The sequence below is a fragment of the Homo sapiens genome, chromosome 11 (assembly GCF_000001405.40).
Source record: "Homo sapiens chromosome 11, GRCh38.p14 Primary Assembly".
In the NCBI taxonomy this organism is placed as follows: Eukaryota; Metazoa; Chordata; class Mammalia; order Primates; family Hominidae; genus Homo; species Homo sapiens.
Genome location: NC_000011.10, coordinates 108518632 through 108533834, shown reverse-complemented (window position 1 = coordinate 108533834; position 15203 = coordinate 108518632). Strand labels below are relative to the sequence as shown.

At 43.0% G+C, this 15203-nt stretch overlaps 1 protein-coding gene across 24 annotated transcripts in view; it reads left to right on the top strand.

Moving 5' to 3' along the window:
• Nucleotides 1-15203, top strand: part of EXPH5 (exophilin 5) — a 102102-nt gene that overhangs the window by 73702 nt on the left and 13197 nt on the right. For 22 of the 24 annotated variants that reach the window (XM_017017398.2, XM_017017397.2, NM_001441060.1 and 19 more), the window contains one exon: nucleotides 5651-5699. The exons of the other annotated variants lie outside the window; for them this stretch is intronic. In XM_017017398.2, coding sequence (XP_016872887.2) covers nucleotides 5651-5699 — 49 coding nt within the window. The remainder of the gene's footprint in view (nucleotides 1-5650; nucleotides 5700-15203) is intronic. 24 annotated transcript variants of the gene reach the window in all.

Sequence of the window (15203 nt, the reverse complement as noted above, 5' to 3'; positions counted from 1 at the left end):
AACAGAGCAAGACCCTATCTCAATAAAAAGAAAACATTTTTGGTTTCCACAACTGAAGAGGGGAGGGTGCAATTGGGATCCAGTGGGTAGAGGCCAGGGGTGCTGCTAAACATCCTACAATGCTCACAACAGATCACCACGACAAAGAAACGTCAACAGTGTAGAGACTGAGAAACTTTCCTCTAGCTGTAGTGCAAAGAATAGATTTGAGGGGGCAAAATTAGGGTCAGGGAGACCAAGTAGAGATTGCTGAGATAATGGTGGCCTAAACTAAGGTAGAGGCAAGAAGGAAAACAAAAAAAGGGGCAGATTTGTGCAAGATTTAGAATGTAGGCCGGGCGAGGTGGCTCACGCCTGTAATCCCAGCACTTTGGGAAGCCGAGGCAGGTGGATCACGAGGTCAGAAGTTCGAGACTAGTCTGGCCAACATGGTGAAACCCTGTCTCTACTAAAAATTAGAAAAATTAGCCAGGTGTGGTGGCAGGTGCCTGTAATCCCTGATACTTGGGAGGCTGAGGCAGGAGAATCACTCGAACCCGGGAGGCAGAGGTTGCAGTGAGCTGAGATCGCACCACTGCACTCCAGCCTGAATGACAGAGCAAGACTCCATCTCCAAAAAAAAAAATAGAATGTAGACTCATGAGAACCTAACAAATGAATGTGGTGGGTAAGGAAGAGAAAGAAGTAGAGATGAAATTTCCACTCTGACTGGGGAAACTAGGTAGATAGATGATCATGAAGAATCTGAGGAAGAGCAGAAGTCGTACAGGTAAGAATGAATGCATTCATTAATTTATTCAGCAAAACTGCCTGAAGAATACCATGTGCAGCACTGCGGGACAAAACAGGGCTTGCATTCCCAGGCTGTACTCTTGTGAGGACAACAAGAAGGAAGTAGAGAAACACACAAGAACAATGCTAAGATGGGGAAACTCCATACGCTGCGGGAGCACATACAGACAAAGTCCAGGTAGGGCTCCCGGAGAAAGTGACATTTCTAGTGATTCTTCAAGTATGAGATAGTCATCCAGGCAAAGAGATGGTAGAAAAGTGTTTTAGGCAAAACAACAAAATGTGCATAGGCTCAGAGGCCTATCTGATTTTCTATGGCAGGCTGGGCTTTCATCGGCAGAGAGGATGGTCTGAGTGAAGGAAGCTTTGTTTGTTTTTGTTTTTCGTTTCGTTTTGTTTAAATGGTCATACAAAGTTTTTATTGGCTAGCCTTGCTTCAAGAGAAACTGGCCAAATGATGAGGTTGATCATTATCTATTAATAGTTTCATTACAGTCCTGTGTCATTGGGTTACAAGTAAAAATCCCAGATCAAGCATGATGGCTCACGCCTGTAATCCCAACACTTTAGGAGGTCAAGGCAGGCAGATCACTTGAGCGCAGGAGTTCAAGACCAGCCTGGCCAACGTAGTGAAACCCCATCTCTACAAAAAAAAAAAAAAAAAAAAAAAAAAAAATATATATATATATATATATATATATATCCAGTGTGGTGGTGCACACCAGTAGTCCTAGCTACTCAGGAGGCTTAGGTAGGAGGATTGCTAGATCCCAGGAAGTAGAGGCTGCAGTGAGCCATGATCATGCCACTCTACTCCAGCCTGGGCAACTAGGCAAGACCCTGTCTCAAAAAAAAAAAAAATTCTCTATGGCAGAAGGGATCTAGGACTTATGAGGCTGGAAAGTATGTAGGAACTAGATCATACAGGGCTTTATGAATGCAGAAAAAAGTTTCAACTTTCACCTGAGAACAAATGGAAGACTGCAGGGAAGTGGCGTGATTCAGTTTATATTGATCACTCTGAATAAAGTATAAAGGATTGATTGGATTGGGACAAAAACTTGGACACAGAAGATAGTTAAGAGGCTATTACAGCAAAAAAGCCAAAAGATGATAAATGTCTTAACTAGGGTAAATGCAGGGAGATGTAGAGATGTGGATGGGTTTGAGAGGGATTTCTGAGTTTGAATCAACAGGATTTGTTGATTAGGTGGATAGGAAGGACTGCGAGGGAAGGAGGACATAGATTCCGTTTTGGACAAGTAGGATCTCAATGGCCTGTGGCCATCCAGGTGGAGGTCCTCCTCAGTGGGTAAAGTGTGCCCCACCAACACTTGGGGGGAAATCACCCAGGGTTCCAGTTAGAAAAGGATATTCTTGAGCCCCATCCTACTCTATTGAGTGAGAATTTCTGAATGGTATCTATAAAGGTATGGAAATGAGAGAATATTTAATGGAGGTGGAATTAATTTGACAAGTCTAGAGTACCTGTGGAAGAGTGGAATGTGAGCAGATGAGACTTAAAGGGTTCTGGATTATCCAGGGAAGTTTGCCAGATTAAAGAAAAGCCTTATGTCATATTAAGATTTTGATTTTTAAAAATTTTCTTAATTTTTTGTATTTTTAGTAGAGACAGAGTTTCACCATATTGGCCAGGCTGGTCTCAAACACCTGACCTCAAATGATCTGCCCACCTCAGCTGGGATTACAGGCGTGAGCCACTGCGCCGGGCCTCATGTTAAGATTTTGGATAACACCTTATTGTAAGATTTTTAGGCAGGAAGTTGATAAGATCAAATTTGCATTTTAGACATATCTTTCTATTGGTGATGTGAAGGATGGAGAGGAGTCCAGAAGAGAAATTGTGAAAGTTGACTGTCAGGCAGAATGACTGGAGGTGGTGAAGTGGGGATATATGTGAAATCTCTCAGATACAGCATCAATAGAACTTGTGGGTAAATGCAAAAGATGAGGTAACTTAGTATCCCTTGAAATGACCAAGTCCAGGGGCCTTTTACCAGCATAGTTTTCATGATACCACTGTTGCTTTTATTCACTCTCTAAGTGGAAACTCTTCACATGAGAAACATAAATTAACTTGTGGGAAGGCCTGGGAGTGGGTGCAGAGACTCTGGGCCCCCAAAACTGCTGAGTCCTATACTCTTCTACCCAAGTCCACAGGAGCACACACAACCATGGCACCCTTAGGCAATTATGTGTCCTTCCACTAGCGGCACGCCCTCACGCTTGGTGGTAGCATCCCAGCTGTGCTCCAGGCACCCTCTGGCCCTTTAGCTGCATCTCCCACACACCTGCCATTCTCAGAAACCTGCTCCTGCTGCCATCACTCCAAATCAGAAGGGGTACCTGGTGAGCTGGTGAGTGTCGGACTGTGGGGATGCACCATGAGGGCTGTAGCCCAGCAGGATTCCAGAAAGAACCTTCACAGTCTGGCATGTAGTCCTGGCTCCAGGCATATTGGATTACTTGCCAGTCCCCGGCCTCCCTTGCTGTGCCCAAGCTTTTGCTCAGGCTATTCTTTAGCCTCTTGTACCACTTCCACTGCCATCTTCCTATTGCCTTCCCTGTTTGTCCCAGGAAGTGCTTGCTGGCCCCTATGCATTTCCCATGCATTTTACTTATACCTCTTCATCGTCCTTATCAAGTCTTGACTTAGGTTTTGGCTCTTTACATATCTGCTGTTTCCTAAAAGCTCTCAGAGAACAGGGTCCCTATCTGAGTCATATTTGTTTCCTCCAAAGAGCTCAACATAGTATGTAGAGTGTAGGAGGAAAACAGGCTCAATAAATGTGTATGGAAAAGAAGAATAAAAATAAAAGCAGTATTTAACTCCTAGATATTATTAGTAGATCCAGTATTTCAGAGTTATATGGAAAAATCCATAGTTTTCATTTCAATTTCTGCTAAAATCTGAGCTAAACTATAAAATACATGTGGTTATCTTAAGGGTATAAGAGTATTTGGTCTCCCAGGTTTTATGTTCAACTTTTATGAACCATGAAGCTGCTGGAAGTTTGAATGGACAACTGTGCCTTGCCACTTTTAATTGATCTGATCTAGAGACCCAGTTTCTTTAGCTCTTGATCCCCATTACTGTTCTGTCAGTGGAGGAAAGGGCCTGATTTCATACAGAGCTCTCAGTCATTATGGTCTATTAAATCTTTTTTTTTTTTTTTTGAGACAGAGTTTTGCTCTTTTCACCCAGGCTGGAGTGCAATGGTGTGATCTCAGCTCACTGCAACCTCTGCCTCCCAGGTTCAAGCAATTCTCCTGCCTCAGCCTCCTTTGTAGCTAGGATTACAGGCACCTGCCACTGCACCTGGCTAATTTTGTATTTTTAGTAGAGACACGGTTTCACCATGTTGGTCAGGCTGGTCTCGAACTCCTGGCCTCAAGTGATCCACCCACCTCGGCCTCCCAAAGTGCTGGGATTATAGGCAGGAGCCACCACACCTGGACAGTCTATTAAATCATGAATTCAGACAGAGAACCCCTTGGCATGAGACTGTAGATTTAAAAGATTATGCCAGACGCAGTGGCTCATGCCTGTAATCACAGCACTTTGAGAGGCTGAGGTAGGAGGATGACCTGAGCCCAGGAGGTCGAGGCCACAGTGTACTGAGATCATACCACTACACTCCAGCCTGGGTGTCAGAGTGAGATCCTGTCTCAAATAAATAAATAAAAGATTAAAATTTATCTCAATTCTGGGCCTAGGCCTTAAATTTGTCACCTTCTCGTTGAATCTGAGAAAGCAACACAAATAGTAAAAGAATACTTGTTCACTTCCAAAATGGTTTCCTAGTAAGTCAGCCATCTTTATAGAAGTCAGCATCCTAAAGCAATCTTTGTTGTTGTAGTGGTTTTTTTCTCTCTTTTTTTTTTTACTTTAAATTATGTACTGTTAAATCTGGTCGTTACTTAATTGCTCTTTAAAATAAAAATGCAAAGAAACAGAAAATTTGTTTCCTATTAGGAGAAAAAGTCAGCATGCTCTACTGGTTAAGAAAGAGGGCTCTGGCCAGGCACCACGGCTCACACCTGTAATCCCAGCACTTTAGGAGGCCGAGGCAGGCAGATCACCTGAGGTCAGGAGTTCGAGACCAGCCTGGTCAACATGATGAAAACCCATCTCTACTAAAAATACAAAAATTAGCCAGGCATGGTGGCAGGCGCCTGTAATCCCAGCCATTCGGGAGGCTGAGGCAGGAGAATTGCTTGAACCCAGGAGGCGGAGGTTGCAGTGAGCCGAGATTATGCCACTGCACTCCAGCCTGGGCGACAAAGAGCAAAACTCCATCTCAAAAAAAAAAAAAAAAAAAAAAAGGGAAAGAAAAAAAAGAAAAGAAAGAGGGCTCTAGATCCAGACAGACTTTGCCCAACTCCTAGCTCAGCAACTAACTATGTATTCTGACTTCTCTGTACCTCCATCTTCTCATCCGTAAAATGGGAGTAGCCATAATATCCATCTCAGGAGAGTGATGTATCTAAATGAATTAACACGCACAAAGATCAGGCCTGACACAGAATAAACAGTGCAACAAACATAGCTATTATATTTTATGTGTCATGTTGTGCTCAAATGCAAATCCACTAATATGTAATTTTTTCTTGGCTACCTGAGGGACAAAGATGTAAAGTATTGATTCTGGGTAATCATAGGAAACAGTTTCTAATTTTTTTCAATAATGCACTAACGAAGAAACATCTTTCTACAGTGAATTAGAAATAGATCTTCTCAAGGTGTCAAAATCTTATGGCAAATGTGCTGTTGATTTTTCCGCCTGGTAAAAGTTAGGCTCTTCTTCAAAGAAATCATTTCAAATTATTTCCACAGATGTGATGGCCATGCAGGACCTCCTATGCCTGTGAGGGGAGCTGCTGTGGTAAGTAACCAGATAACTACAGGTTACTCTAAGAAATTCAGAATTTATGTAATCCCAGGGTGGCTACCTATTTCAGTAGTATTCCCCTCGGCTCAGTTTTAAATTTATTTTAGAAGCTTGGATTTCTCCCTAAGAGTTCAAATTTTCCCAATTATATTTGGCTTCCAGTTGACTTTGATACTGGAATTCTCTGCCAGGAAGGAGTGAGGCCATCATGTTTCCACTTATGCCATCAGTGGCATCTCTGATATTTTGCCACGTGTTGCCCCTGTACAGCCCTGAGGTGTTGGGCAGAGGAGGCGGCCAGAGGCAGCCACAGCCACGTTTGCCAGCCAGGATGGGTTTGCACCAGATCCTTTCTGAGTGTGGTTATCATTTGTACTCAAAGAGGAAGCCTCTCATAGGTGAGATGCAGGAAAAAGTTCGCATGAGGGTTGACCCAGCGAGATGCTTCCTCAGAGGCTAAAATTTAAATTTGTCACCATGTTCGGATGCTGACAAGATAAAGAAGCTTAAGTGTTCTGTTTCTGCTTTTTCATGGTCATAACTTTGATCTACACATTCCTGTGTCTTCCTGTGTAACTCGTATGGTTTGGAGATAAAAGAAATGGAGAGTTTTGGAAGGGACCTTTAGGAAGGTTTTGAAAGCGGGCAGGAGGAGAGCAAGTATATTTATCAGTGGATCGAAGCCTTAGTACTGGGTCCTCCCTTTTTCTTTCTCTCTCTCTCTCTCTCTCCCTCCCTCTCTCTTTGCAAAAAGCATGAGGTAAAATTCTGGTGAGGAGGAGTGCATATAAACAGAGGTTCTTTTTTTTTGAGACAGTTTCTCACTCTGTCACCCAGGCTGGAGTACAGTGGTATGATCTTGGCTCACTGCAACCTCTGCCTCCAGAGTTCAAGCGATTCCCCTGCTTTAACCTCCCAATTAGCTGGGATTGCAGGCCCTCACCACCACACCCAGCTAATTTTTATATTTTTAGTAGACACAGGGTTTCACCATATTGGCCAGGCTGGTTTTGAACTCCTGGCCTCAAGAGATCCTCCCGCCTCAGCTTCCCAAAGTGCTGGGATTACAGGCGTGAGTCACCATGCCCAACTGGAAACAGAGGTTCTTTACACTACTTCTTTCTGGGTGATAACACTGAGCCCTATTTTTCTCCTATATATGCCTCAGCCCCAACCATGACACCAGCACTAAAAATTGCTACACTCTAATGGAGAACTTACTGTCCTCCAGGCACTTGACACAGATCATTTCGTTTAATCCCCAGAGAAACTCTATAAAAGAGGTACTATTATTCTCCCCAATTTAAAGATGAAGAAAGTGAGGTTTAACGAGTTAAAGATCATGCTCAAGGTCACCCTGGTAAATAGCAGACTGAGGATTAGAAAGCCTGGGTTTTTGGAACTCCACAGCATGAAGTCAGTAATGCCAGCAGCTCCTCAGCTCTGATGTGCTGTTTGCACATGGACCCCAGTTGCTCGCCACCTGCGGAGACTCTGCTTTAACTAAGCAGTGGACTGAAGTGGCATGACCTCCCCATCCAGCTTTGCCCTCTGAGAGGACAGAGCCCTGCTCCAGGATGCTTCTGTACTCTCGGTTTTCCTAGGGGAAGTATTCAGACTGACCATCCTCTGCCGTTTGAGAGCCACGGGGTCTGAGGCAGAAAAGGAATGTAAAAAGAAAGGCAAATGCCTGAAAGAAGTGGAGCTAATTTGAAGTTTTGGGGATTTGAAAATCCAGTCTAGGGATTAATAGACATCTTACTTTGACAGTCCTGATTCCCACTTGCACGAAACCATTTCACTGCTTGGAGCATGTCAGTCTAAAAGGCAAGAGCTGGGCAAATAAGGGAAATGGAACCCAGTGACTGTTGCTCCCCATGAATAGCTATTATGAAAAGTAAGAGAGAGGCTGGGAAGAGTGGTTCATGCCTATAATCTCAACACTTTGGGAGGCCAAGGTGGGAGGATTGATTGAGGCCAGGAGTTTGAGACCAGCTTGGGCAACATAGTGAGACCCTGTCTCTACAAAAAAAAAAAATTTTTTTTAATTAGACAGGTGTGGTGGCACACACTTGTAGTACCAGCTAATCAGGAAGCTGAGGTGGAAGGATCACTTGAGCCCAGGAGTTGGAGGCTGCAGTGAGCTACGATTGCATCACTGTACTACAGCCTGGGCAACAGAGAGATATCCTGTCTCAAAAAAAAAAAAAAGAAAAGAAAAAGAAAAATTTAAAAAAGGAGAGAGAGAAAGAAAAAAATAATGAAAGCACTATCTCTAAATTTTTAAAGTAATATCTAAAATAAGACTTCTGCATGACGTGTAGATTTCTCTTACTTATTCAAGGAAGTTCTATCCCCTCAACCCCACAGAGAGCTGGAAATTGACCATGGATGCCATAGCGATTCTCCCCAAGATTTGAGGTGATGAACTTCTCATCACTTGGTTGGCAGCCAGGCAGGAATGGTACAAGCAGATTCCACTATTTCATGGGAAGTTGTACTATATTATTAGATGATCTTCCACTTAAAAAAGAAGGAAGCTGCTACTTAAACATTTGCATAAGCTTAAAAGAAGCAAAAGACACATAGAAATTTCAGAAAACATAGAAATTTTAGAGCTAGAGAAACACTTAGAGATCATCTAGCCCAGGGTTTCTCTCAATCTCAGCACCATTGACATTTTGGACTCCTGCGTATTGCAGGATGTTTAGGAGCATGCCTGGGCCACTTGACTACTCCTTATCTCTGAACAAACTCTGGCTACTGTCCAGTGATACTGCCAGCTCTGTACCCTTAGGAACACACCTCCAATGTGGCACTTCTTACACTGGGCTTTTTGTCCAGATTGGTGTGGGCTCCTCAGGCAGGGCCTGTGTATTAGTTTGTTTTCATGCTGCTGATAAAGAGATACCCAAGACTGGGTAATTTAAAGAAAAAGGGGCTTAATGGACTCACAGTCCCATGTGGCTGGGGAGGCCTCACAATCATGGCGGAAGGTGAAAGTCACATCTTACATGGTGGCAAGCAAGAGAGAATGAGAGCCAAGCTAAAGGGAAAACCTCTTATAAAACCATCAGATCTCATGAGACTTATTCACTACCACGAGAACAGTATGGGGGAAACCGCCCCCGTGATTCAGTCATCGCCCACTGGGTCCCTCCCACAACACGTGGGAATTATAGGAGCTACAGTTCAAGATGAGATTTGGTTGGGGACACAACCGAACCATATCAGGCTGTGTATCCCCACTGCCTGGCACAAACTGAACACTCAGTAATTGAAAGAAGAAATGAATGAGTGGTTTTAAGTTGCAGCTACATTGGTGGATATGACCTGTGCAGGAGAACAGACATGGAACAAATTCAGGAACACCTTGAAAATTTAATTTGTTGATTTTACCAAGGCATTTGATAACATCAGTGAGTTTAGGCTTCAGCTCTGACAGCTGTTCTACAGGTTTGGCTGCCCTAGGAAGTTCTCAAGTACTCTAAGGCTACTCTATGACAGAGGTTTGTTTGTCTAGTCAGGTCAGAATCACAGACAGTATCAGTGGAGTGAATTGGAGTTGTGTAAAAGACCTCATTTTCTTCAGCCTATTTTATGTACCATGTAACTGAGATCCTGAAAGCCAGCATTTTGCAATGGCCTCTCATCCTGTGGGATACTTTTCTACCTCATTTGGCTACCAGCATCAACAGGAGTCTTCCAGGAAATTCTCTATAACCACAAAAGAATAGTAGCAGCAACAATAAGGATTACTAAGTGCTAGACATCATTCTAAATGCATCACAACTATTAATATTAATTCACCTAATTCTTACAGCAACCCTAGGCAATGGGTATTGTTATTGTTGCTGTTATTTTCCTTTTACCAAGAAAGAAACTAAGGTACAAAGAGATTAGATAACTTGCCCAAAGTCATATAAATATTAATGGGCAGAGCCAGGATTGGAACCTATGTAGAGCTCATGTGCTTAACCACTACACTGTCCTGCCTCCAACATGCTTTTCTGAGTCCTAATATTACAAATCTTCAGTGTCTCAATTTCTGTAATAATATATATTAGTAATCCCAAAGTCATGTAAATATTAATGGGCAGAGCCAGGATTGGAACCTATGTAGAGCTCATGTGCTTAACCACTATACTGTCCTGCCTCCAAAGTGCTTTTCTGAATCCTAATATTACAAATCTTCAGTGTCTCAATGTCTGTTAATAATATATACTAGTAATCTTATATAATTAGTTTTCTATTTTTTGAGATGGAGTCTCACTCTGTCACCCAGGCTGGAGTGCAGTGGCACAATCTTTGCTTGCTGCAACATCTGCCCCCAGGGCTTAAGCGATCCTCCCACCTCAGCCTCCCAAGTAGCTGAGACTACAGACATGTTCCATCAAGCCTGCTAAGTTTTTGTATTTTTGGTAGAGACAGGGCTTCACCATGTTGCCCAGGCTGGTCTTGAACTCTGGAGCTCAAGCAATCTGCCCGCCTTGGCCTCCCAAAATGCTGAGATTACAGACATGAGCCACCACACACAGCCTTATATAGTTAGTTTTCCACCTTGGTATATCATAAATCAATTCATAACTATGTGCAAAGTGTCATGCCATATACAATGAAAGGCATGGAATGTCTAAGACAAGTTTCCTTTCTTCAGAGAGTTTACCATCTAACTGAAGATATGTACATTAGTGAAATAACGGTAAAAAAAAATAATGGAAAGAAGAGGGTTTGGGATCAGATCATATGAGTATGAGTAGCCAGTGCCACCATATAGATTATTCATGTGACTTCAGTAAGGCACTTGCATGAGATACAGTTTCCTCATCTGAAAAAATGGGAATGATAATTCCTACTTAATTCACAAATTTGTTATAAGGATTCAGTAAGAGAGGATATTTTTAAGTATATTAAAAATAAATGAGTAATTTTGTTCAAATACAAGAAAGTTGGAGGCTGGGCGTGGTGGTTCATGCCTGTAATCCCAGCACTTTAGGATGCCAAGGTGAAAGGGTTGCTTGCACCCAGGAGTTTGAGACCAGCCTGGGCAACATAGCAAACCCATTTCTACAAAAAATTAAAAAATTAGGCATGGTGGCACACATCTATAGCCCCAGTTACTCAAGAGGCTGAGGTGGGAGGATTGCTTGAGCCAGTAGTTCGGGGTTACAGTGAGCTGTGATTGCACCACTGCACTCCAGCCTGGGTGATGGAGCAAGTCCCTGTCTCTTAAAAAAAAAAAAATTGGAAAGGATTTTGACACAATTGTGCTGCAAAAAAGGTGTTTGAACATCCTTATCCTCTAGGCCAGGGCTGGGAAATAGGCTTCACCTTTTATGGCAACTCCAAAGCACGGAGCATTATTTTGAGGGGCTTCTGAGTCCAAAACTGAGCCCTAATTAGGATCAGTCAGTGTCTGCTCTGGGTCCTGGAGAGATTTACTTCTCTTCTAGGTCACAAGAAACTTCAGGTGCTTCCCAGAAGCTCTATGACCTGTGTTTGGCTTCAGAGAATGCCTGCTACAAGGATTTAATGCACTAATAAGCCAAGAGCTGCAAAACTTGATCATGAGTAGAATGAGGTATTTCAGCATTGGCTCTGGAATCTGACAAACTGGAAATGAAACTCCTCCCTCCACCAGTGTGACCAAACGCAAATGACCTGACCTCTTGAAACCTCAGTTTTCTCAAAGTAGGGATAATAAGAGTACCAACTCCATAGGGTAGTTAAAACTAAATGAACTAAAGTAACCCACATAAAGCCCTTAACACATTGCCTAGAATAATCAATGTTTAGTTGCTGCTGCTAACAACAATAATAATAATATCTCACACATAGCTTAAATAAAAATTAGAAGTCTATAGGGTAGTGATAATTTTCAATCTTTAGGTCTGATACCTACTATTGACTAACAGTTCCTTTTTTAAAAAAAAAAAAAATCACTAACCTCACCCTTGCAGAGTTACAGTTGAGTGTAAATGAAACCTCGGTATTTTCTCTTGCTAGGTATATAATTTACATCTCTGTGTGTTGAAAGCATCCTGAACACGTTGAGTAGGATAGGTCTTGAAGTAGAGGGTCTGGGCAGAAATAAAACCAGAGGAAATTATACTCAGGGTCTCTAGAGGGTAGTGATTCTTCCCAATCTAGAGAGGGTCATCTCTTCACGTGACCCCTCTGTTCATGTACTTTTCATTTCACTGTATATTATCATTACAAAGGAATGTGATCCTGGGGGCCACAAGAAATGTACTGGTCTACATACATAGAGAAAAGATTGTTTGGTGTTAAATGGTCGAGAGAGAATTATGCCTACTGTTCTCTTAATCAGATATATCTACTTTGCACCAACTACCAAAATTGCAGATTTGAGAAGAAAGGACTTATAAGATCTGTAACTAATTGTTATTATCACTAATACTAACAATTATTGATGTAGGGTAACCTCTGAGTTGGACAGACAAAAGGGAACACTTTGATGTAGGGTAAAAAGAATTAACTTTAACTGATCTGATTTCTCAAATGATTAGTTTGAGGTTTTATTACCTCTAATCAGTATCCCATTATAGTTGTGTTTTGCTTTTAACATTTGTTTACTTCCGAATTTTATATTAGTATGCTAAATCATATTCAGTGACCAATAAGTTATCATGGGAGCACTCCTTCCGTATTAATAAATCTCCTTTGTGAGTAGTCAATTGTGGCTTGCTCATAGAACTGAAAACCATAGGTCAATGAAATTTGGGCAGGTTTCTGTAGGAAATAACTGACCTAGACCTTGAGAAAGAAAACAAGCAGGAGTGAAAACACAAGGTCGTAAGGAATGTAGGGGTTAAGAGAACCAGCGCCGTGGAATCAGACAGACCTGTTATGGAGAAATTAAGAAGTTGGAGCTTTGGAAAGGATCGACATGTGGTCTTAGGCATGAAAGATGAGACAAAACATAGTGGTGAAGGTCAAATAGAAAGGGAAATTTTGAGGTGGGGAGAGGGATTCAAGAGGCAAGGACTGGGTAGCAGAGTGAGCTGAAAATAAAGACTGGAAAGGGAAGTGGATGAGTGCAGGATGAGCTAAAGTGGAGTCATGAGTGACAGAGCCAGTTTGACAGAGGAAACGCAAATGGAGTTTTGGCACAAGAAAGTGAAGGCATGGGGTGGATAATGTTTGCAAGGTTATGAAGACAAAAGCTTGAAAGTAGGGCAGTGATTAGATTTTATGAAATAAAGATAAACATTTGTTAGTAAACAAAGATAATAATAATAGCTGGGCGAGGTGGCTCATGCCTGTAATCCCAGCACTTTGGGGGGCTGAGGCAGGAGGATTGCCTGAGGTCAGGAGTTCAAGACCTGTCTGGCCAATAGGGTGGAACCCCATCTCTACTAAAAATACAAAAAAATTAGCCAGGCATGGTGGCGTGCGCCTGTAATCCCAGCTACTCGGGAGGCTGAGGCAGGGGAATTGCTTGAGCCAGGGAGGTGGATGGTGCAGAGCCCAGATCGCGCCACTGCACTCCAGCCTGGGCCACAGAGGGAGACTCCGCCTCAAAATAAATAAATAAATAAATGAATAAATAAAACAATAATAAAGGAAAACAAATTTAGTTCTATATCATTCTCCTAAATCCTTTCATTGAAAAACTAGCAATAGGTTTTTTTAAAGCCATTTATTATTTATACAATCAAACTTTTGAGTGCCTTTGTTGCAGAACTACCAGATCAGCTTATTATGGGCATCTGAGGGGTTCTACCATTCTAGATCAGCAGTCCCCACCGTTTTTGGCACCAGGGACCCACTTCGTGGAAAAGAACTTTTCCACAGAAAGTGGTGGTGGATGGTTTGGGAATGAAACTGTTCCACCTCTGATCATCAGGCATTAGTTGGATTCTCATAAGGAAAGCACAACCTAGATCCCTCGCATGTGCAGTTCACAATAGGGTTCGCAATCCTGTGAGAATCTAACGCCTAATCCCAGGGCTGATCTGACTGGAGGCGGAGCTCAGGCGGTAATGCTCGCCCTTTACCCCACACTGTGCAGCCTGATTTCTAACATACCACAGACCAGTACCGGTCTGTGGCCCAGGGGTCAGGGACCCCTATTCTAGATGACCTCTAATAGAAACACATTTTTCCCCCTAAATCCTCAGGTTCGCAATTTTTTTTTTTTTTTTTTTTTTTTTTTGAGACAGAGTCTCCCTCTGTCTCCCAGCCTGGAGTGCAGTGGCACGATCTTAGCTCACTACAACCTCCGCCTCCCGGGTTCAAGCGATTCTCCTGCCTCAGCCCTCCCAGGTAGCTGGGATTACAGACATCTGCCACCATGTCCAGCTAATTTTTGTATTTTTGGTTTTTTGTGGGTTTTTTTTTCTTTTTTTCTTTTTTTCCAAGACAGAGTCTCACTCTGTCGCCCAGGCTGGTGTGCAGTGGCATGATTTTAGCTCACTACAACTTCCGCCTTCCGAGTTCAAGCTATTCTCCTGGCCCAGCCTCTGGAGTAGCTGGGATTACAGGCACTCGCCACCACACCCAGCTAATTTTTGTATTTTTAGTAGAGACAGTGGTTTCACCATTTTGGCCAGGCTGGTTTCGAACTCCTGGCCTCAAGTGATCTGCCTACCTCAGCCTCTCAAAGTGCGGGGATTACAGGTGTGCGCCACTGCACGCGGCCAAGTTCACAAATCTTAAGGTCCACTACGAGTTCTAGCTAACAGGGTCTTGAAAAAATAGGTACAACGTTAGGAAATCCAAAATCCAAGCCATTGGAGCCATGGAGACAGCACTCCAAACTCAAGAGGGGTCGATTTCTTTCCTCTCTGCAAGGAACCCCCACTAAGATCTGTGTAATGCTGTTACCACACCCCACCACTTACCCAAAGTTAGCCTTTGGTTGGAAGGTTTCCTTAGTATTGGCCCTTCCGTGGTCGCCAGGAAGATATTACCAGAAAAGTAATACTGGATCCAGACCCCAAGAGAGGGTTCTTGGATCTCGCACAAGAAAGAATTCAGGGCGAGTCCGTAAAGTGAAAGCAAGTTTATTAAGAAAGTAAAGGAATAAAAGAATGGCTACTTCATAGAGCAGCCCCAAGGGTTGCTGGTTGCCCATTTTTATGATTATTTTTTGATGGTATTATGCTAAACAAGGGGTGGGTTATTCATGCCTCCCCTTTTTAGCCCATATAGAGTAACTTCCTGATGTTGCCATGCCATTTGAAACTGTCATGGTGCTGGCAGGAGTGTAGCAGTTAGGACGACCAGAGAGGTCAGTCTTGTTGCCATCTTGGTATTGGTGGGTTTTAGCCGGCTTCGTTAGTGCAACGTGTTTTATCAGCAAGATCTTTATGACCTGTACCTCGTGCCGACCTCCAGTCTCATCCTGTGACTTAGAATGCCTTAACCGGCTGGGAATGCAGCCCAGTAGGTCTCAGCCTTATTTTACCCAGCCCCTATTCGAGATGGAGTTGCCCTGATTCAAACGCCTCTGACAGTGCTGTGTAAGTTCGT